The 22,281-nt window shown below is 57.1% G+C and overlaps 1 protein-coding gene and 1 long non-coding RNA gene across 20 annotated transcripts in view, besides 4 other annotated features; one reads left to right on the forward strand and one right to left on the reverse strand.

The window, feature by feature from the left end:
* ARVCF (ARVCF delta catenin family member) overlaps positions 1 to 22,281 on the reverse strand; it is a 51,690-nt gene that overhangs the window by 17,354 nt on the left and 12,055 nt on the right. For 14 of the 19 annotated variants that reach the window (XR_007067973.1, XM_011530179.4, XM_005261242.4 and 11 more), the window contains exon 3: positions 8,098 to 8,325. Coding sequence is in view for 17 of the 19 variants with exons in the window: in XM_011530179.4 (XP_011528481.1) it covers positions 8,098 to 8,307 (210 nt within the window). In the remaining 2 variants the exon portion in view is untranslated. Of the gene's footprint in view, positions 1 to 1,185; positions 4,517 to 4,585; positions 4,710 to 8,097; positions 8,326 to 22,281 lie in introns of those variants that run through there. The other 5 variants (NM_001438694.1, NM_001410839.1, NM_001438683.1 and 2 more) reach the window with 2 other exon arrangements.
* Positions 308 to 1,245: an enhancer, noted in NCBI's record as "H3K4me1 hESC enhancer chr22:19970318-19971255 (GRCh37/hg19 assembly coordinates)". NCBI's record gives its function as "activates a minimal SCP1, AML or CMV promoter by ChIP-STARR-seq in naive H9 embryonic stem cells {active_cell/tissue: H9 hESC(naive)}" and the evidence as "EXISTENCE:reporter gene assay evidence [ECO:0000049][PMID:30033119]".
* Positions 1,246 to 2,182: an enhancer, noted in NCBI's record as "H3K4me1 hESC enhancer chr22:19971256-19972192 (GRCh37/hg19 assembly coordinates)". NCBI's record gives its function as "activates a minimal SCP1, AML or CMV promoter by ChIP-STARR-seq in naive H9 embryonic stem cells {active_cell/tissue: H9 hESC(naive)}" and the evidence as "EXISTENCE:reporter gene assay evidence [ECO:0000049][PMID:30033119]".
* Positions 3,120 to 4,055: an enhancer, noted in NCBI's record as "H3K4me1 hESC enhancer chr22:19973130-19974065 (GRCh37/hg19 assembly coordinates)". NCBI's record gives its function as "activates a minimal SCP1, AML or CMV promoter by ChIP-STARR-seq in primed H9 embryonic stem cells {active_cell/tissue: H9 hESC(primed)}" and the evidence as "EXISTENCE:reporter gene assay evidence [ECO:0000049][PMID:30033119]".
* Positions 4,414 to 4,853: a silencer, noted in NCBI's record as "silent region_13470". NCBI's record gives its function as "represses an Ori minimal core promoter by ATAC-STARR-seq in GM12878 lymphoblastoid cells {active_cell/tissue: GM12878}" and the evidence as "EXISTENCE:reporter gene assay evidence [ECO:0000049][PMID:35858748]".
* On the forward strand, positions 15,924 to 19,105 carry LOC124905082 (uncharacterized). The gene is made up of 3 exons (XR_007068007.1): positions 15,924 to 15,982; positions 17,432 to 17,510; positions 18,954 to 19,105. It is a non-coding gene; the product is annotated as an uncharacterized LOC124905082 (long non-coding RNA).

Below are 22,281 nucleotides of genomic sequence, written 5' to 3' on the forward strand. Positions count from 1 at the left end.
CAGCATGCCTTCCTGATGTCAACCACCACCCCTAGCTGGGACATCATGGTGTCCTGGGGCCTCCTCCCTCACCTGCCCCAGACACCTTGAGTATAGAAGCCTTGTGGGGGCTGTTTCAGCACTGCCTACTGACTCCTGTGGCCACACTAAGGTTCCCGCCACCAACGCCAGCCAGACGCCCTCAAGGGACAGAAATACGCAGTTCCCAGAACACCCCATGCACCTGCAGCACCAGTATGTCCTTATTCCTTCCAGCCCAGACATTCTTGAGTGTTGTGTAGGCACAGGTTTGCCCTACCTCGGGCCAGTGGCTGGCGCCCCCAGTGACTGAGACTCTGGGCATCATATCAGAGACCAGACACAGTAGATTTGAGCCTATGGGTGCCCTTGCCACCATTCTGCATGGGGTGACGACACTGGAATTCTAGGCAAGACAACTCTGGACTGAGACTTTTCTATCCACATGCCTACTGACTGGACTTGCCAGTGGGGAAACTGAGGCTCAAAGAGGATAGGCTGGCCCACATCAGAGCCAGGCCCAACCCCTGCCGCGCTGAGTGGCTTGAGGACCTAAGACTCACAGCCTGCCCCGGGCCTCTGACTGCACAGGTGCCTGGCCCCAGGGCCACATGGCACCAACATCCGGGGATCGGCATCTAGCCAGGATGGGCAGGAGCTGAAACCCAAGCCCTGGTGGGTGGGTCAGGCGGAGCACATTCCCAGGCAGCCAGGGCAGGGTCAGCAGGAGGACAGGTCCTGCTTTGTGGCCCAGGCCCCTGGTCCCTGCACAATGGGTCCCTTGCCTGGGCCCCCTGGGGCCTGCACAGACACTAAGCTCTGCCAGGCTCCAGAGGCAGACTCTGCCCATTCTTGGGCCTGGGAGGTGAGCCAGGTTAGATGCTCAGCGCTGCCCTCAGGACCTGCCTGCCAAGGCTCGTGGGCTGGGAAGCCTCCCCAGGTCAGGGTCCTATCCTGGGGGAATACTTGACCCCCAAATGCATGCAGTGCAGGTGTCCAGGAAGGGGCCTGCACCAACATGTTAGGACAGGTGTATCCCTCAGGCTGACAGAGGAAAGAAGTGGCCACAGAAGGCACCTCCCCCTCTCCCACAGGCAGGGTCTTGGAGGATGACAGATAACTTTATAGATGGGGAAACTGAGGCCTGGCAGGGGGAAGAGGATTTACCTAGAACTTCACAGTCCAAGTGGGATTTCAAGCACCCCCAGAGAAGGCAATCTGGCAAGGAAGGCTTTGGGCCTCATCTCGCCCTCAGTCTTGAGATGTAGGTGGAATGCCTGCTGTGGACCTGGCTAGGAAAAGGGGACCTGTTCCCTGGGAAAAAGAAATAGACTGAGGCCTAGAGTGGGGACAACTGGCACGCTGCCAGGCAGGGCAGGCTGGGCTCTTCTCCAAAGGCACTGGGGAGCTGGGACTGCTCTGAAGCAGGAGAAGGCTTGTGTGGCCCATCACTGCTGGGGCTGGGCTGCCCCATCTGTATCTGGCAAATGTGTGTCAGGCCCTGAGCTCTCTCTGCTGGGCCCTGGGCGGGGCTCATCTGAGTTCAAGCAGGGGCCCAGGCACTGAGGGGCTGCAGTTCTGGCGACAGAGTGAGGAGGGTATAAAGCAAGACTGAGGAAACGTTACCCAGGACTCTGCCAGTGGGATGTAGCCCCTCATATATGTATATATTTACATCTATTAAAAACTCAGAGAAAAACCCCCTCTTCCCTAGCTAGGCAGTGGGGGTAAGCGGGAGAGGAAAAGGGGAGGACATCTCAGGACCCCGATGCCACTCTGTGGCCCAGCTTATCCCTCCCACCAAGGCTGTGGTGAGGGTCTGACAGGCAGAGCTGGGGTGGTCCAGGAGAGCCACGCCCCCGCAGCAAGACCTGGCAACCCTGCGGCACCACCCATCAGCCCCGGCCTAGCAGCCCCGCAGTAGGATCCAGAGGCCCCAAGAGTCCCTGCTGGCAAATGACCTCAGGGAGCTAAAAACGAGGGATGACTTCACCCGGGTGGCAGGTGCATGAGTCAGCCAGTGATCACAGGAAAGCCCGGCCCCTGCTACACATGCCCAGGCACACACACATGCATATACATGACCCCTCAGACAGGGACACATGCATGTACATACACGTGTGCAAGTACCCAGCCCGGCACAGGCCGAGCACATCAACCCGTGTGCTCTAACAGCACCCCAAGGGCACGGCGCCCACTGTTCCCAGAGGCACACTCGTGAGCACACATCCTCCCGTCCTCCACCGTGTATCGGAGACCCTTATCCATGCAGGGCCTCACAGAGTCTCAACACACAGGGACAGGGGCCACCAACTCTGCCAATCATCTGCCCAGCATCCACTCTGGGAGTCTCAGAGCTGGCTGGCAGATGGAGAAACTGAGGTGTAGAGTAGTGAGAGGCCCATAGCCAGCTGGTGGCTCAGCTCTCTGCAACATCTTTAGGGTGGGGCTGTGGAATGGTGGGCTGACTCTCAACAGGAGTTGGCTGCAGTCCCTGGATCCCTGTCTGGCCCCAGTGTCCATGTCTGACGTGCACCTGCCCAGGCTGGCCCACTCTCAGGGACCCTGGCCCTGCAGCCCCACACAGCCTCTGCCTCAGACCCAACTCTGGGCTGCTCCCCTCTGTACCCTAGACATGGGCTCTACCCTGAACACCCCACCTCCAGCCCAATCCCACATGCTGCATCCTGTCAGTCGTCTCTCATCACCCCCTCCCCAGCTGGGGCCCCATCCTTGCTCCTCTTGCACCCCGCCCGGCCTCCCAGCACTCATCCCTCCCTTGGCTCTTCAATCTCTGGTGCACCAGGTCTGGGGCCCCCAGGACTGGCCCAGAAACAGGCTGCTGCCCAGGCCTGGGGTTTCCCATGAGCTCCCTTGGGCTTGTGGGAGGGGCCAGAGTGACCAGGGAGGTAGACCACCTACCCCTGCTCACAAGAGGGTCCCGGGAACACAGGGCTGAGCCCAGCATAGGGGCTCTGGGCCCCATCACGCACCTTCGGCTCAGCTTCTTCACAAGGAGGTGAGAAGGACAGAGGGGGCTGGGGTCGTGGGACGTGCTGGGTAGCATCAGTCTCACTTTTGTGGCAAAATGCAAGGAACACAGGGAGCAGAAAAGCAAGATTGGACCAACACACAGAGGGATGCTGGGGCACAGGTGGCTGGGCCCTGGTCCCATATTACTTATCTACCCAAACCACCGGACTTCACAGATGCACCACGGTCTGTGTCCTGAAGAACAGACTGCAGGGGCAGGCCCCTCCCCTGTCCAAGGCCTGGCTAGCACACACAGAGAATGAGTTAAGGTGAGATTGCACACCTGGATCCCACACCTGCAGGCCAGGCTCCCAGAGGGCAGGAGGTGGCTGCTGTCCGATGGATGAATGAATGAATCTTCTCCATCCCCATTATGGCCCTCCCAGGTAGAGTCCAGGACAAGCCAGGCTGGCATCTCTCACCAGGCAGCAAGCCCTTGGCCACCACAAAATGCCCTTTCCCTTGGTGCCACAGCCTCTGACCAGTCTCCAAGACCTGGAGCTTACTTCTCCACACAGCAGTGCACCTGCCAGGGCGTGGCCCCAGGCAGAGATGCCAAAAAGCCAAGCTGGGGGAGCAAACTTGGGGTGGGAGAGCAGGGCTGACTGTCATCCACCTCAGCTTCCCCAAGCTCAGCTTGGGGTCATCAGACACACTGTGACCATGGATTTCCCAAAAACTGGTCCCTCCACCTCTGAGGGCCAGACCCTGGGGGCCACACCAGGGCCGTAGGACAGGCAGGGGCCTAGTTGCCCAGGTAGCAGGTGTGTGGGAGACCTGCCTCCCACCACAGAGGGTCTTGGCTGGTCTCTCCTCTGCTCAGTTTCCCTGCCTGTTACTGAACCCAGCACTGCTCTGAGCAGAGGACAAACTGCCTATGCCTCCCCCCACCTCAATGCTGAGAGGGGGAGGATCCCGTTTTCCTTAGAGATCTCCTCCAGCATCCATTAGTGGGCAGGGCCTGTCTCTATCCCTCCCATCACGTGCGCCTCGGAGGCAGAGAAGACTTCCATTAAAGCTCCGGAAGCTCCTTTGCAGGTCCCGGGAGTCAGAGCCGGCGTAGGGGGTGTGGAGGGGAGAGGAGGAACCCTCTCAGGGAGCAGAAGGCCTACCCGGGCTTCCCTCTTCAGACTTCAGCCTCCTTCCTGCACAGACAGAAGCCGCTCAGGAAGGCCCTGGCTCTCCACCCGTGTCCCCAGGCACCTGTCCTGGGCGCTGGCCAAGAAGCGTCCATCCGGTCCGGGCCGGTGCCAAGAGGAGGGTCAAACTGCCAGGGGTCCCGACCCCCCCAGGCCCCGCGGATGGGCTCCAGAGACCCTGCGGCCCGCCCTGCATACCCGGGGGCACCGCGCTCACACCGCCACCCGCCCGGCCCTGGCCCCAGCCTGACGCAGCCCAGCCAGGGGCGCAAGACAATAGCTGCCTCGGGCCAGCGGCTCCGCGGAACAAAAGCGGGTCCTCCCGGGCAGGCCGACGCCCCGCCCTCTGCCTCCGACCCCGGGCCAGGGTCCCCCCAAGCCAACTTCCCTCCAACCTGTCTGAGTTCGGCCGGCATCGGGCCGGGACTCGGGGGGCGCTGGCCAGCAGCGGGGGAGGCGGTGGCTGGACCAGGCTCGGCTCCGGCGCCTCGGCCGCTCGGGCTCAGGCTCGGCGGACTCGCTCCCCGCGGGGGCGGATCTGGCGGCGGTCACGGCGAGCAGCCAATCGGGCGGGGCCGCGCCCAGGTGGGGCGTGGCGGGGGCCGGGGTGGGCGTGGCGGGCGGGGGGCGGGCAATGTGAGGTCCCGCCCCCCAGAGACAGGGGGCGGGGCCCTGCAGCCCCGGGTCGCCCCCTGTCCCCCCACTTCCCACCACCTCCCCCCACCCACTGCCGGCCTGGACTTCTGCTCCCTCCCCCTCCCTGCGGCAGGGGTGTCACTTTCCCGCCGAAAGACTTTGGCCAAGTCCTTCCCAGGCCTCGGTTTGGCCTCGGTTTATGACCACACTTCAGTCCGCCTGCAAAGGGGGAAACAGTTCCGGCAGGGCAGGTGCCCGTGCTGCGATGCACAGAGCACAAGGCCTCCCTCACTGGCACAAACCTGGCTGCGACTCAGTTTCACCTGCCATGAAATGGGGGCCGATGAGACAGTAGTCACGGCTCTGTGAGATCTCTCCAGTCTCCCAGATCCCCCCTCACCCTCCTGCCCAGCCGCCACTCTGAATGGGCCTGCGAAGAACTGTCCCCACAGAGTTCGATGGGGACCTGGAAAAGGGCCCTGCAGGGGACCCCCACTTTGTATCTTGGGTTCTCCCCATCGAGGCACAGAAGCCCCGAATGCACCCCCACTGCTCCCCCAGGCCAGCCTCAATGTGGGCCACACCCTAGGGAATCTAGTTCTGCTGCAGTGAAAAATGGGAGGGGAAGGGCCAGGCTGGAGCCACCTTCTTATGTCAAACCCCACAAAGGCCAAGCCAATGGCTCCAGCATCACGAACAGGGAAACAGGTTCTGAGATTAAATGAGCTGAGACCAACCCAGGGAGACTCAGTGGGTCTGGCAAGAGAAAGGGCTCGGGCCCAGGCCTCCCACTGGCTTCTCCGCAGACCCCTCAGAAAACAGCCTCCGCAGGGACCACTCCCTGCTGCCCTGAGCGCCATATACAGAGGCCACTCGGCTAGCATGCTCAAGATTCTAGGTACCCACCATGTGCCCCTCTGAGCCTCAGTTCCCCCACCTGCAGAGGGGTGAGCTACCCTACCACTGGCTGGACCCCTGTATCTTGCATCTAGGGCCAACCTGCCTGGAACCCCTGGAGCAGAGCGCAGAAGACCAGACACTGCGCCAAAAACGCGCCCGCATCTTATCTTTAAGCTGGCTCCATCTTCTCAACTGCACCAGCAGCTAGTGCCCCAGCCACCTATCCACCTAAGACGAGCCCAAGGCAAGTTCCCTGATGGCACCCCTCCCCACTGGGTGGGCGTCAGCCCTGTTTCAGCTGGCTGTCTAGAGGAGGGGCCCCTTCCTGCTGGAAGATGAAGGGCAGGTAGCCAGGACCCTGGAGCAGCCCAGTGAGTGCAGCAGCACTCCCCCTAGCCTGGTTCCCCAGCCTCAGCCCCCAGCTACCTGCCTTGCCATTGCCCTGGCTTCCCAAAGCCCGGGCTCTGACCCTGTGGCTCAGCAGGTAGATCGCTAGGCACTTCCTACTGAAACCAATCTGGGAAACCTGGCCAGCCCAAGGAGGCCCTGCCTCCCCTAGTATCCTCATCAGCCCAGCCAGTTGAGCTGCAGCCCTGGCAACACATGCTCTCTTCAATCCCAGCCTGAGAAAATCAAGGGTAGGGGGTCGGGGGGAGAGTTCAGGGGCAGGGGTGGTAGGTGGAGGGGCAGTAGCCTGAGGTCTTGAAGTCTTTTGCCTGAGGAGGTCAGGGTAGCTCCAGGCTGTGGGAACATCTTCCCACCAGGGCATCAACCCTCCGGGGTGCCTTGGGTCCTCCCACACTGCCTGTCCGAGGACAGTTCCGGTCTGGGAGGGTTGGACTGAGCACACTGGCGCCTGAGAGGCGGCCTCGGGGTCACTGGCTTCCACTGTCCCTATATGGCCCAGCTGGGCCCAGCGTTCTGCTTCCCCGCCTCAAGTTTGAGGGTAGAGGCCTCACATTTTGGAGTATCTCAAGTCTGAGGGCTGTGAGAGTGGCCCCAGCACCGAGACCCACCAGAGGCCTCTGAGCACCAGGGGCCATGAAAAAGGGCCCCCTAGTGAGTCTCGGACCCTCTGGGGACATTAATTTGACTCTCACCATGCACTGGTGCTGGGCTGGGCCTTCTATGTGGGTCTCATGAGCAGACGTAGGAAGCATGACGCCTGCTGGCCGACACCAAGTCTGGACACCAAGACTCAAGGAGTAGTCACCAACCCCAGGTCCCTCGGCCTGACACAGGCTGCTGGTTCTGAGCCCCACATGCCCCAGCCAGGTGAGGAGAGCCCATGGGGCTGCCTCAACAGAGACCAGCGTTTGCTCCCTTTCTCTCTAGATGAGAAGGGCCAGGCTGCCCCAAGCTCCTGGCATGTGTGTGCCAGGCGCAGGTCCCCAGAGTCAGGGCCCAGCAGGACCAAAGAAGGGCGGGTGGAGGTGCAGGTGCTGGGAGTATGCTGGGGGGAGGTCTGGCTGCTGGGTTTAGCGGGGCAGGGAGCTGAGCCAGGGAGACAGGACTCTGCAGGGAGAGCCCTCTAGGGTCACTCTGTGAAGAACCCAGAGGCCGCAGCAGGAGGCAACCCCCCCAGCCTCTAAGCTGGGTGGTGAGGAGAGCCCCCTTCCCCGTGGCTGCTGGGACAGCTCCACCCTGACTCCCCACTGTGCTAGCCCTCAGTCAGTAACAGGAACCATGATAATCACACCACATCCCAAGTCTCCCTGCATGTACTTGTTCCGGCCTCCTAACCCCAAGCCAGGGGCTCTTGCTGTTTCATCTACAGGTTAGAGCACTGGGGTGCTGGGAATGGGGTGTCCCAGTGGTCTAACTGCTCACTGCATACCCCAACTTTAGAGTTCTTAGGGCCTGGCCATGGAACACAGAAGGCTCTATACCTCCTGAGGCTGAGTAGGGGCCGGAGCCCAGTCTGAGGATAATGGCCAGCAGAGAAAATGAGGCTCCCAGGTCAGCCTCTAAGCTGCAGGCAGAGCTCTGGGCCTCCTCCTGGGGCTGACCCACCAGTGCATGCAATGAACACTGTGGCAGGGTTAGGCATGGTGCAGGCAAACCCCTAAAGTGTCTCTAGGCAGACCAAAGAGCTGCCCAGAACAGACCCCATCCAGCTGCCTGGGCCCTGAGGGCTCAGTGGAGGGTGCTGTTCTGAGTGTTGGGCTGTGTCCTGCCCACTCTTCACATGGTGCCTAGTACACCCAAGTGGGACTTCCAGCCCAACCTGGGATCCCATTTTCCTTTCCTCCCCAGGAGCCCCAGCAAATCTTGCAATAAGCGAGCGCATGCTGGCTTGTGGTCCACCAGGACCCACTGATTGTTTTCCCACTTGGCAATTTTCACCCTTCCCAAGTCACTAGGCTGTTACCTGGAGGACCAGCTGTTGCCAGGCCATTGGCAGGGGCTGCCCACTGCCCATGCCACCACTGACCATGCCAGGCTGCTGGGCACGCTCCAGCTGTAGGGCAACATGGCGCCGCTCCTGCTCCAGTGCCCGTGTCAGCCTCTCGAAGCGGGCCTCCTGCTCCTTCACCGAGGCCAGGATGCTGGCGGCCGAGTGCACATTGCAGTCCTCCATGACCAGAGCGCCCGCCAGCTGCAGGCAAAGCAGAGTAAGCTCAGTGGGGTGGGGCACAGCCTGGCAAGGCCATCATGGGCCCCTGCCCGCCCCACTCACAGACCATACAACTCACTCCCAGACCAGAGCATCCAGCCCTCTAGAGGGAAGCACACTGATTAAATTCTAAATTAAAAGCCATTAATCCGAGGCTGGCCGGAAGCAGCCGGCTCACTCCCCATGGGTTTTGGGACTCTAACCTGGCTCCTCTGCTTCCTGCTAGACCTAGCAGAAACATGGGCCGTGGGCGGCTTGGAGCCCGCTGGGAAGGGCAGGAAGAGCTCATTAGAGCTTCTTACCTCCCAGGCCCTCTGCCACTCATACCACATGCCAGCCCACCCTCCATTTCACAGGGCCACCCCACTCCCATCTCACAGAGGCAGATGCCAGGGCCAAGAAAGGGTGGGGGACCATTTGTAGCCACACAGCTGGTGTGGCATGGCCAGTGTGGCCAGCAAGCAGGGAGTGAGAAGCTGCTCCACTGATGGGTGCCCAAGACCCCGAGGCAGGCGCAGGTGACCATAGCCTGAGAGCTCCTGGCAACACTGGTCTGCAGACCAGCAGTCCAGCCTCCACTCATATCCACATTGGCCAGAAACAAGAGTGGTGCTGCTACACATGACAGAGTAAAAACTGAGGACAAGCCTGGTTGAGGTTCTGGCTGGGACTGCATGAAGTTAAGAGACCATAAGCCTGAAGTGGCTGGTGTGTGTGATGCCTCATCCAGAAAAGGGCAGGGGCCAGGCATCTGAGGCCAAGCACAGGGTGGGATTGGGCCTGCTGGGCCCAGCCCAGTGTTGCCCCTCAGGGCCCCAGAGCCCCAGGGGAGCAGGCGGGGGCCATGAGGGCTTGGCAGCCGCAGAGACAAACCAGCACTTTCCCTCCCAGCTTGCCCCCTGGCTGCCCAGAATGTTTGTTTTTCATGGGTAAAAAGAAGCAGGACAAGTATGCGGAGCTCCAATCCAGGCTCACCACAGTGGGCAGGGCATAGCCACGAGGCCACACTGCCCGGAGCACAGTGAGCATGGCCGGGTGCCCAGGGCTGCTCAGGCATCCTCCTGCCCAGTCCCGCCAGCCCACTGAGGCCAACTCCGCTGGATCCCTTGCCCTTGCACCAATATAGGGCCCTCCACGGGGAGGACACGCACTGCGGGTGACATCCCCAGAGCGTCAGCACTGCTGCTCACTGGTCTGGATGGAGCCAGCTGCAAGGACAGAGAGCCCCCAAGAGGAAAAGCAGCGCTGGGCTCAGCTGCGCCAGCAACACGGTGCGGGGACATGGGTGCACCTCATAGGTGAAGAGACACTGTGGAGCCCAGCCCCACCGACAGCTGGGAAAACAGGCCCAGCAAGAGCGAGAGACCAGTGCAGGCCCCCAAAGCTGCTCTCCATTTCCCCAGCACCTGTCCCACAAATGAAACTGTCAACACAACCTTTCGGGGAAGCCAGCATGAGTGGAGGAGCTGTTTTAAGCCAGCCACAGAATGGAAGAATGCAGGGAGAGCTGGGGGCCGCCGCCCGAGACTGAGGTGCAGACTGGGCGCTCCAGCAAAGGGATAAACAGCACTGCACTCCCCAAGCATGGTCACACAGCTCTTCTCTACACACCTGATGCTGTCTACCCACAGGCCCCAGACCCAACACAGGGGAGCCTTGTGCACTAATGGACTGAACCTAGTGCTAGGCCCGAGGTGGGAATGGTAGGGTATTCCCCCTGGGACGGCCAGGGCGGATGGCAGGGCCCATATCACTCCAGCCCTCAGCCCAGTCCTGGCTGCAGCACCAGCCCATCTCAGCCGAACCTCAGAAGCAAGGGACAGAAGGAAATGGGACGCTGCCTTGGATGGCAACAATCAGGACCACAGGATAGCCACTGGCCTCATGGACCTGGGGTGGCTTACTTCCCTCCCTGTGCAGAGACATGGACCCTCGTCTACACCACACACCCCATCCCCCATCTAGCAGGACCAGGCTTGGGCTGCAGACCCTGCGGACAGCTTCCCTGACCTAAGCCCCTCCAGCACACCCTGGCTCTGGGGACTAAAGATGCCCACCCTAAAGGGGGCCCACTGGCTCTGGCTGAGGGCTCAGTACTCCAAGGCCACAGTGGGAAGGTGACCAAACCCCACGATGACCTTCTCATTGCCGAACTTGGCTTGATTGGTGCAAAACAATCATGTATCTCCCTGGAAACATCCAGAAACACTGGCCAGTGTTGTGGGGAGAGTCTGGCAGCCATGCTCAGGAGAGCAGAGACCTTGGTGCTGGGCCTGTGCCATCTGCCCCAGCCGCAGGGTGCACCCTGCATTTGCCCTGGGGGGAAGTGCCCTAGGCCCGCAGGTCATGGCCTCGGCATCTCAGGTGTCTCAAGAGCAACCCGGGATATGCTCCAGGCAGAGCACAGAAGGCCCAGGCCCACTCCCCTGACATGGTGGACTCTGGCCTATGACAGGAGCCAGTCTGGATACAAGGGATCCTGGCCCAGAACCAAAGAGGGCTGCTTTTCAGATGGTAACTCAAAATGCTGTTTTTATATTCAAGTAATAAATATATGATGTCAAGGAAAGCAAAATGTGCATGGATTCTTAAGATCGATGGGGCCTGAGTGGATGCTGGGCAGAGTGGGCACCGGATTTGCTTTTGCTAGAGCCCAGGAGGGCCCTGGGGGAAGGCTAGGAAGGGGGACACTGCAGGGACCTTGGCTGTCCAGCCAATGCCACCTTGGCCTCCCCTAACCTGGTAAGGGCCCAGCATTGCCTTGTCGGGTGGACCCCTCATGACCCCCCACCCAAAACACAGCAACCAGCTTCATGCCCAACTCTGAGGAGGCCACTTCTTGCCAAACATGCTGGCCCCAGAAGTTTACTTAGCCGCAAGGCAGGAATGACATTGCACAGCCCACGAGTGACCAGACTTCAGGACCATGTGGACAACACCATGTTCCAACCAGAAAACATCAGGAACTGAAGGGGGGCTGGAAAGGTCGGGGCTAAACTGAAACTCTGAAAAATAAACTGCAAAACAAAAGTGACGACCCAGCCCCCACCCAGCCCCAGCCACAATGGACATTGGCCACGTACCCAAGGGAATCCAGGACCAGGACGTGAGCCTCCAGGTGCTCTCACAGGACAAACTGCTGGGCAAGCAGGTGGCCCGAGGAGAGAAGCATGGCAGGAGAAGAGGGTGGCCCCAGGCACACAGCCCATGGAAGACTAGAGGGAGGGCAAGCAAAGGAGAGACAGCGAAGGATGGACAGACAGATGGATACAGGGGTGGATGGGGGATGGATGAATGAATGGAGGGTGGCTGGGGCAGTGGTGGAGGATGGACAGAGGGACGGACAGATTGATGGACAGGTCGGAGGATCGTGGGAGATGGACAGAGATGAATGGATGGATGGGGGATGGTGGGGAATGGACAGATGGATGAATGAATGGGTCGGGGGGATGCTGAAGGATGAACTTATAGATGAATGAATGGATGGGTGGGTGGAGGGATGGTGGGAGATAGACATACAGATGAATGGATGGATGGGTGGGTGGGGGGATGGTGGAGGATGAACAAATAAATGAATGGATGGATGGGTGGGTCGGGGGATAGTGGAGGAAGAACATATAGATGAATGGATGGATGGGTGGGTGGGGGGATGGTGGAGGATGAACATATAGATGAATGGATGGATGGGTGGGTGGGGGGATGGTGGAGGATGAACAAACAGATGAATGGATGGATGGGTGGGTGGGGGGATGGTGGAGGATGAACATATGGATGAATGGATGGATGGGTGGGTGGGGGGATGGTGGAGGATGAACATATGGATGAATGGATGGATGGGTGGGTGGGGGATGGTGGAGGATGAACATATGGATGAATGGATGGATGGGTGGGTAGGTGGGGGGGAATGATGGGAGATGGACATATAGATGAATGGATGGATGGGTGGGTCGGGGGATGGTGGGAGATGAAGATATAGATGAATGGATGGATGGGTGGGTAGGAGGATGGTAGGCGATGGACAGAGAGAAAAACAGACGCATAGATGGGATGGTGGGGGATGGATGGATGAACGTATGGATGGATGGGGGGGGATGGTGGAGGATGGACAGACGGATGGACAGATTGGGGAATGAGGGGTATGGACAGACAGACGGGTGAATGGATAGGGAGGTGGATGAAGTCATAGAAGGGTAGACAGCTAGATGGATGATTGGATGGGTTTACAGATGAATGGATGGATGAGTAATAGATTTGTGGGTGGGTGGCTGGAGGGATGGGAGAAGAGGAGGCCAGATAGAAGGGGGTGTAACTGAGTGAGTGAACAAGTGTGTGGACAGGAGACTAATAGGTGGTTATATAAGAAAATGAGGGGAGATGAGAGGATGGGTGAATGGTGGCTAGTTGGATGGGAAGGTGGCTGGATGGATACGGGTGGTGGTAGAGGGATAAAATGATGATGGAAGAATGTGTAGGAGGGTGGGCAGATGGGATGCTGAAGGCTGGGTGGATGGAGGAGTGGATGAAGGAGAAAACAGAGTGCGATGCATGAATGGAAGGGGGGGTGGGCTGTGTAAGGGCCGGTGGGCAGGAAGGAAATGCTGGAACCTCACTAAGTGGGGAAAGCCCCGGCCCGCAAACCCTCTGGGGCAAACCATGGTCAGCACACACTGTCAGGAACACGAAGGCATGGTGAGGAACCTGAGGGTAGAAGCTAAATCCTTTCCCTGAAACCAAAGCTGACATTTGACGACATCTTGCCAACCCAGACATTCCTCCTCGGGAGTGCGGCCAGAGCCTTGTCCGGAAAATGAAATTATGGGGCCCGAGTCCAGTGTGGGTTGAGGAATTAGAGGAATTTCCGAAGGGTCAGGCCAGTGAAGGGTGGCAGGCGGGGCCTGGCTCCCATCCTGACCCCTTGCCAGCTGTCTACCAGAACACAGCCAGGGCTGCGCTGGCCCCCCCCTCGAGGGGAGAGACGGGACGGATGACCATCGAGCCTCCTCCCATACCCCCTTTCCCCTCCACCCTTCCCTACAAGGAGGAAATGATGCCAGAAGTGCCCTGGCAGGAGTTGGACCCAGGCCCAGCACCCACCTTCTGCCTGGGAGGACATCCTGGGAGCTGCCAGCACAGAGACTTCCTCGTCCCCCTAGCTGGCCAGGCCTTGTGGGGGCCCCATGTTTACCCTGTTGCCCCTACTGTGGTCAGATGGTGCCCAAAGCCTTGTGGGTAGCTTCTGGCCAAGCCCACTGGCCGGGCACTGTACTCAAGCTGGGACAGGGCCAGAGCCGGGGGCCTGGGGTTCACAGGGCGGAGTCCACATCCATCTGTGCCAAGGCCAGGACCACAGTCCCTTGCAGACTGTGTTGGATCCGGGGTGCCTGGGCTGGGGATGACTGTTCTCAGCCTCCAAGCAGCAGAAAGAACCCCCGAGGAAAGACGCACAAGCGTGACTTTGTGAGAATGAAACTTTCTGTATATCCAAAAAAAAAAAAAAGGGCCACACAGTGTGGTCATGTTTTTTAAAGAACTGACACCATTTAGAGCAACACATGCAGTGAGCGTTTTGATGAAATGACGGGTGCTGGCGTTACTCGCAGACCATGACTCCAGCATGGTGAGGCTGGTGTGGGGTGTGCAGGACCCATCACACTAGGCTCTCCACTTCTGTGCTTTTGTAATTTTCCATAATGGAAGAAGCAGCCACAAAGAAAATGAAAAGACAATCGACATGTTGGGATCAAGTATTTGTAACATACAACAACAAAGTGGCATCCTCAGCCCATTAGGTGCTCTCATAGGCTGCTCCAGAGCCCCACAGTCCTGCCCCTGCCAGTCTACCACTCCTCGAAGCACGCGCCGCTGGCATAATCAGAACCTCAGTAGGAAATAGACAAACCAGATACCCTCCCCACCAGGCAGGCGAGTGAAAGCAGAGGCCAGGGACCAATCTCCCCAGGGGCCAGGGCGGTGCCCACTGTCAGAGAGCCATAATCAGATTCAGCCTGGAAATTTGATTTCCCCAGCAGAGGCAATGAGCCAGGCTGGATGAGACGCCATCGGGGGTTGGGTAGAGGGACAGAGATAGCTCCCCAGGCTGTCCACATGCTCACTCAGTGGCACCCGCTGATCATGTGAGGGACCACTCCCATGTCCAGGGAGAATACTCAGAAAGGGCCTCTTCCCACGCTGCTCCTGCCCTGCACTAATGCAGTGCCCAAGGCCAAAGGTGGCCAAGACCAAAGCTACACTGGCCAGCCCCAGGGGGCATGCTGGATGGGAGGTCCAGGGGGACTAGGGGCTGTGTGGGGCTGATACGGAAGCTGGGGTCCGGTCAAGGCAGGGTCACTGCTGGGGGCCAGGGAGCTGGGAAGCCTAAGGTTAGGGCAAGGGCTGGCTCTAGTGGCCGAACGAGCCCAGTGACTGCAGGCAGGACGTGACAGGTGAGCAGGCAGGGCAGGCGAGTGTCCCAGCAACTGTCCCTCCTCTGTGGGAGGCATGAGCCACAGGGAGCCACTGCTGGAGGTCCCTAAAGGGTCTGGGCTTAAGATTCTCAATCCAGCAGGTCACAGACACCTGCTCCCTGTGCCAACAGCAGCATCCTTTAAGTCTCCTTGGTCTCCTGAGACCTGCCTCTCCATGAGGAGACATGAGATGGGGTGGAAAGGAGTCCTCCAGGTCCCGATTCAAAACAGCCCCCAATGCCCTTCCTGTGCCTGACCCAGACTCTAGCTACAGCTGCAGCAGTGGGTGGTCCTGCAGACTCCAAGCCGTGGAGTAGTGGCAGTGAGGGGCCACATTCTCTGGGCTCCCTGCTGCATCCTGCCCAGGGCACCACCAAGGGCTCAAAGGCTGGGGAGCTCCAGGGAGAGGGCTGCAGAGGCTGCCAGTGCAGTGTCTTCTCCCCTGCACACTCAGCCCACCCACTCCGCCCCCAATGATGAGCATGAAGTTTGTAGGAGTGTGGAGAGGTGTAGTGCCCTACTAAGTGGGCCGGACATTGGTGGCGGTGGCTGGCCCATTGCCTCCACGGCTTACCGGGACGGGCACCCACCCCGCAAGGTGCCGTGTGGCCCATGCCCTGCCTTAGGGAGGGCAGGCGCAGTGGAGGCGGAGGCGGGGTGTAAAAGGCCCAGACATGGAGCTGAGCCCCGTCCTCTGTACTCTGGGGTGGGCACAGGGACCAAAGCATCCCTGAGGAGCGAACTGACAGGGTTCACAGCTAGGCTGGGATCAGAGGCAGACAGCCACAGGGCCTGGGAGCCCTGCCCTACCATGCCCTACGGCCCCACTGAGGCACTGTAGGAGACAGCTGTCCACCAGGCTGAGGGGCCTCAGCGGGCAGGTGCAGCAGTCACCACGCTGGCCACCAGCCTGAGTGCACAGGGCCGTCCGCCTGCAACGCCCTTTCCCCCCTCATTGGAAGACGGGGTTAGACCCCTTCTTCCCAGCCCCTCTATCACCATGGAAACACCCAGGCTTCTCCTGAGGGACAGAGCCTCTTTGTGGTGACACAAAGCCCCTTTGAGGGGAGGTGGGGTGCAGCCCCTGGGAGCCTGTGGCCAAAGGGCCCCTGGGGGGTAAAGCAGGGCCCGCCGGCCCAGCCCCCCTCCCAGGTTTCGGAGCCAAGGAAGCTGAGGTAGGAGAGCCTTCAGGTTAGGCCAGCCCGCCCCAGCTGCCCACCCAGAAGGGTCTCCGGATGGATGAGCCGGACAGCCCAGGAGGCCAGGCTGAGGCTGGGCAGAGACAGCACCGAGAAGCCTCTCTGCAGGAGCTGGGGGGTTCCTGCTTTCCCCTCTGTTGTTTTGACAAAGAACACACTCTGCTTAGATAAGTGGAAAACAGCACTGGCAGGGGAGCTCCCGCCAGTCAGGAAATGCCCAGGATGGCTGCAGGAACAGTGCCTGGTGGGAGATGGGGACAGGAAGTCCTCCGTGGGAGGGCAGGCAGGGGCCGTGAGACGGCAGGTCAGACAGTGGGAGGTCTGGCACCAGGTGTGCCGAGAGGACTGGCCCTGGCATCTGGGCCCCACTCAGTTTACTGTCCTCTCACTTCTCAAGCCTCAGCCTCCGTCTTCACCTATCCGCCCAGGGGGAAATGTCACTGGCCTTGCTGCAGCCACAACTCTGGGACAGGCCAGAGTTGGATAAAACGGAACCTCACCATGGCTTGGCTTATTCCAGGGCTGGGGAAATGGAACCCTGAGGATGATGTGGGTCCCTGGCACAGTGACAGCATGGCTGTCCCATCCATGCTACAGCCCCACAGCCAGGGAGGCAGAGGAGGCCAGGCCACATTTCCCCAGACTCCCAGCCCTGGAGCCCCTCCTGTACTGGCCTGAGAGTCCCTGCCCCCACCCACTGACTGCTGCTGACCAGGCACCTGGCAGCTCCCTGCATGTGGGCGCCCTGCCTAGAGGCCCTCCCGAGTTGACCTCACTCTGACCCACAGCAGCTTTGCTAACTAAGCCCCTGGGGTGGGGTTGGGGTGGGGATCACTGGCCCCCTGCGGCAGCACGAGGAGGCACTGGCCCAGGGAGAGATCCATCCTTTTGTAGGCAAATCTACCTGACTACTAGGGAGTGGGGCCAAGGGCTGCCCCCACAGGGCAGTGCCTGGGTCAGCAAGCACTTGCTGCACCCCCAATGGAGGCCCTCACCACACCCCTCCCAACCTGCCTTCCCCACTGGCACCCCACTCTCTGCTGACACCTGCAGGCACAGGGGTGGGGGTTGGGACCCTCCAGCTGCCGTGGCAGGGAGTGGCCATAGGGTGGTTGCTGTGGTGGACGTAGGCCATATGGTTCAGAATGGATCAGAGGATGGTGTGGGTGGGAGAATTAAGTCTGGGCTGACCGCAAGGGATCAGGCCTGGGTGGCTGGAGGGAGGGGCCGGGACCCTGAGTGGGAGGGTGCAAAGGGAGTCTCTGAGGCTGGAGAGGCTGAGGGACCACTAGATGCATGAAGTTCTGGAAGAAAGGGGTTCAGGCTGGAGACAGAACCACCGGCACCTTCAGCCTGTGAAGCCGAGAGATAAGACAGGTGCAAGCCCCACTGCCTCCTCCAAAGGACCCTCCCCTGACCTTCTAGAACAAGGGGACAAAGTCACTTTCCCAGCCATCATCTTCCCTGCACTGGAAGGGGCAGAACGAGGACCCAGCACTGAGAGGTGAGCCTCAGGAAGGAGGCAGTGCTGCCAGCCCTTGGGGACAACAGCCTGTCCCCTGAAAGTCCCAAAACCCTTGGGAAAGGTGCTCCTCACTGTACCCTTCTCCCACCCAGCACATCAGAGGAGCCAGTGGTGTGAGATCTTGACCCAGCATGAAGTAGAGCCCACCCTGTCATATGCAGGGAGGTTCCATGTCCCCTTTGGTCTGCCCTTGCCCCAGGGTCCTGTGTGGCCTCTGGCCAGAGCTGGCTGCTCCCAGGGTGCCTGGGGCACCGCTCATCCCTTCCAGAGCCTGAGCTGGATGCTGGCCTTGCCGCTCCCAACCCCCTCCTCTGCTGGGAGCCAGCTCCACTCCGGAGTGCCCATGGCAACAGGCCTAGACACCAACCTCCAGCAAGTGCACAAAGTCCTGCCTTTCATATGCAAGCAACACAGAGGGCCAGGCAGGGGGCTGCACCACCCCATCCAGGGCAGATTCCAGGCCCTGCAGCCTCCCATCTGGCTCCCACCGCCACATACCAGGAGAGCCTCGGGACTTGACTGTGTGTCCAGTCCCCACTACAAAGAGGTGGGAGAAGTGCTGACAGTTTGGGGCCCTCCTCAAAGGCACCTACTGGCACATGTGTGCAGCCACCCACACTGCTACGGTGTGAATGCTAGTGTTCCCCAAATTCACATTAAAACCTAATCTCCAATGTGACAGTATTAAGAGGTAGGGCCTTTAGGAGGTGATTAGTGCCCTTATATGATCAGTGTCCTTATCAAAGCGGCTCTTGAGGGCTGGTTTACCCCTTCCACCATGAGAGGACACACAGCGCCATCTATCAATAGCCCTCACCAGACACGGAATCTGCTGGCGCCTCGATCTTGGACTTCCCAGCCTCCAGCACTGTGAACAGTATGTTTCTGTTGTTTATAAAGGACTCCATCTAAGGTATTTGGTGGCAGAGCGTGAATGAACTAAGACACACACAGACACACACACAAGCACACCCAGGCACAGGGACCCACAGCTGCCCCACAGGCACACGCACCAGCAGGCACACTCGTCCACACCCATATGGCTGCTGCTTATCCCACCTAGAAGTCCCGACAGGCCCTTTGGGGGGTGGGGGACATCTTGGCTCCTGGTGAAGATCAGCATGCTAGGCAGACTCCATTCCTGTCTTGGACACCGGGCAAGGCAGACCCCCTCTGAGACCCCTGAGGCCGGGTCAAGCCTGCCCCTGACACCAAGATCTGCAGGACCCCCTGCCTCTGATCCCACATGAGGTTCCTCTGAGACAGGTGGGAGTGGCTGGGCCTGCAGACCCCGAGCTTGCACAGACCCACCTGCAGGGACAAGCACAACTTACAGCAGCCTAGTGCCCAGGGAAGACCCTTCCACCATGGGAGGACTCAGGAAGCCGCTTCCCGCTGAGTCACATTTAGCGCATTTCTTAGGAAACAGCTGGTATGTGCCCTAGAAGGTTAAAGACGGTGTTCAACTCCGCTGGCCACAGACCACAATGAAAAGGAGCTGCTGGCTGGGCACGATGGCTCATACCTATAATCCCAGCACTTTGGAAGGCCAAGGTGGGAGGATCACCTGAGGTTGGGAGTTCGAGACCTGCCTGACCAACATGGAGAAACCCCATCTCTACTAAAGATACAAACAAAATTAGCTGGGTGTGGTGGTGCATGCCTGTAATCCCAGCTACTCAGGACTGAGGCTGAGGCAGGAGGCAGAGGTTGTGGTGAGCCAGGATCACCTCACTGTACTCCAGCCTGGGCAACAAAAGCAAAACTTCATCTCAAAAAAAGAAAAGAAAGAAAGAAAAGGAGCCGCTATAAATAATGAGGATCCCATGGAGATTTAAAGGAAATCCCAGCAGAGGCAGTAAACAGCAGACTGTAGAAAACACGCAGTGTGAGGCTGGAGAAAGTACACTAAGACGGTCCTCCCAACCCCAACAGCAAACAGGAGAGATGACAAGAGGATGGTAGGAGCCACAGAAGACAGAGCCCAGGGCCAAACTTCCACATGATAGGAGTTTCCAGAGCGAGAACGACAGACAGTGCTCTTCCAACCACAGAAAAACGGCCAGAAACCACCTCAACAGGAGTACGTCCAACGGGGCTATCAGCGTCAGGGCTGGAATCTGAGTTAGGGTGTGAGCCTTCTGTCCAGAAAAGAAGCCCAGGAAGTCACGGATGTGTCTACCTCTGGCTTTTACAATTCAGTCTCATTTCCTCTGGCTCCTAAATGCGCTGTGTCCACTTCGAGGTGTAGGGAGGAGGGTGCCCAGCTCTGACCTGCGGGCTGTGCTGAAGCCTGGGCCTCTCTCTATACCAGGCCGTCTGCAGGCCTGCAGGGGCTGCATACTGTCCCTCTGTAAATGTCAGCCTCAACACGCTGCTGCCTGCTGCCTGGCTCCCGTCTCTCACAGCTCAGAAGCTGTTTTATGATAAAAAAGAGCTGACAGCTTTGTTAAAACAAACAAACGCCTCTCCTCTCTACTTGAGATCTTTTACAAAGTTAACATCGCTCTGAAACCCCATAAGGAAAAATTATGGTGAGGTTTCTGGATTTTCAGAGGCAGCAAACTCATCTTACCTAGAGCCCTGGACTACCCAGAGAAGTAGTTTTAAGAACCAAAAGAAGAGAAGAATTCAGGAGTAAATGAGGCCTGGATAACCCAAGGGATCCTGTGCTTGCACTGCTGGGATTCAAATTTGGGGGCTGCCACCACCACAAGTTTGTGAGAAGCCCACAGCCTGCGCATGAAGATTGTGTCAAGGGAATAGCAGCTGCTGATGTGTGGAATTGATTTTTTCAGCAAGGGCCTGCGATTCTGAATGCATTAAGGCAGCTCCAGTTGTCTGTAGCAGTCCTCTGTCAGCTGCCCATTGGAAGCATTTTTACTGGCTCAGGAAATTCATGGGTTTGTGGACTGATGACTCCAACAGATTAGGTACAAATCCAAGAACCACAAAACAAAATCTAACCAAGCCAAACAACAATCAAACAATAAAACAGAACAAAAAAAAACCTCAATTTGTTTTCCTTTTCTTTGTATAACATTAAAATAAAAAGATGGTAACAGACTACCATAAAGAATTATACACCAACAAATTAGATAACCCAGATGAAATGGAAAAATTTCCTAGAAACACACAACCTACCAAGACTGAATCATGAAGAAATAGAAAACATTGATTAGATTTACAACTAGCAACAAAACTGAATCAGTAATCAAAAACCTCCAGCAAAGATGGTTTCACTGGTGTATTCTACCAAACATTCAAGTAATTTTAACACCAATCGTCCTCAAACTTTTCCCAAAAATAAAGAGGAAGGAACACTTCCTAATTCATTTTATGAGGTCAGCCTTACCCTAATACCAAAGCCAGGAAAAGACACTACAAGAAAAGAAAACCACAGGCCAATAACCCTTATGAATACTGAAACAAAAATTCTCAAAACAAACAAACAAACAAAAAAACACTAGCAAACCAAATTCAGCTGCATTTTACAAGAATTATAAACCTAACCAAGTGGGATTTTACTCCTGGAATGCAAGGATGGTTCCATGTACAAAAATCAATCAATGTAATACGCCACAGTAATAGAATAAAGGACAAAAATCACAATCATGTCAAATGATGCAGGAAAAACATTTAACAAAATTCAATAGTCTGTCATGATAAAAACACTCAAACTAGGAAAAGAAGGAAACTTTCTCAACATGATGAAAGCTATATGTGAAAAGCCCATAACATCATACTCAATGGTGAAAGACTGAAAGCTTTTCTCCTAAGATCATAAACAAGACAAAGATGGCTGTTTTGACCACTTCCATTCAACATAGTACTAGAAGTTTTAGACAGAGTAATTAGGCAAGAAAAAGAAATAAAAGACATCCAAATTAGAAAGAAAGAAAAACCATCTCTGTTCATAGACGACATAACCTTATATAAAACCGTAAAGATTCTACATGCATTTTTTAAAAACTCTATTAGATGTAAAAAATGAAATCAGCAAAGGTGCAGGATAAAAAATGAATACCCAGAAATCAGTTGCATTTCTATATATGAACAATGAACAACCTGAAAGGGAAATTTAAAAAAACTATTCCATTTACAATACCATTAAAAAGAATAGAATACATAATACTAAACTTAAGAAACTTAAGATCTGTACACTGAAAACTATAAAACATTACCAAGAAAAATTTAAAAAGACCTAAATCAGTGGAAAGATATCCCATGTTCATGGCTGGGAAGATTTACCACTGTCACAATGACGATACTACTGAAAGGGATCTACAGATTCAGTGCAATTCCTATTAAAATCCCAATGACAGCCAGGCATAGTAGCATGTATCTGTAATCCTAGCTAGTCAGAGGCTGAGGCTAAAGAACTGCTTGAACCCAGGGGTTCAAGGCCGCAGTAAGCTAGGATCACACCATTGCATTCCAGCCTAGATGACAGAACAAGACCTGTCAAAAAAAAAAAAGAAAAGAAAAAAAAAATCCCAATGACATTGTTTGCAGAAACAGAGAAATCTATCATAAGATTTATATCGATCTTTAAGGAGCCCAAAGAGCCAAAACAATCTGGAAAAAGAACAACATTTAAGGACTCACACTTCCTGATTTCAAAACTTACTACAAAGCTACAGTAATCAAAACAGTGTGGTATTAGCATAAGGACAGACACAAAGACCAATGGAATAGAATACAGAGCCCAGAAACAAACCCTCATGAATACGGTCAAATGACCTTCAAT

Source organism: Homo sapiens, chromosome 22, assembly GCF_000001405.40.
Source record: "Homo sapiens chromosome 22, GRCh38.p14 Primary Assembly".
Classification (NCBI taxonomy): Eukaryota; Metazoa; Chordata; class Mammalia; order Primates; family Hominidae; genus Homo; species Homo sapiens.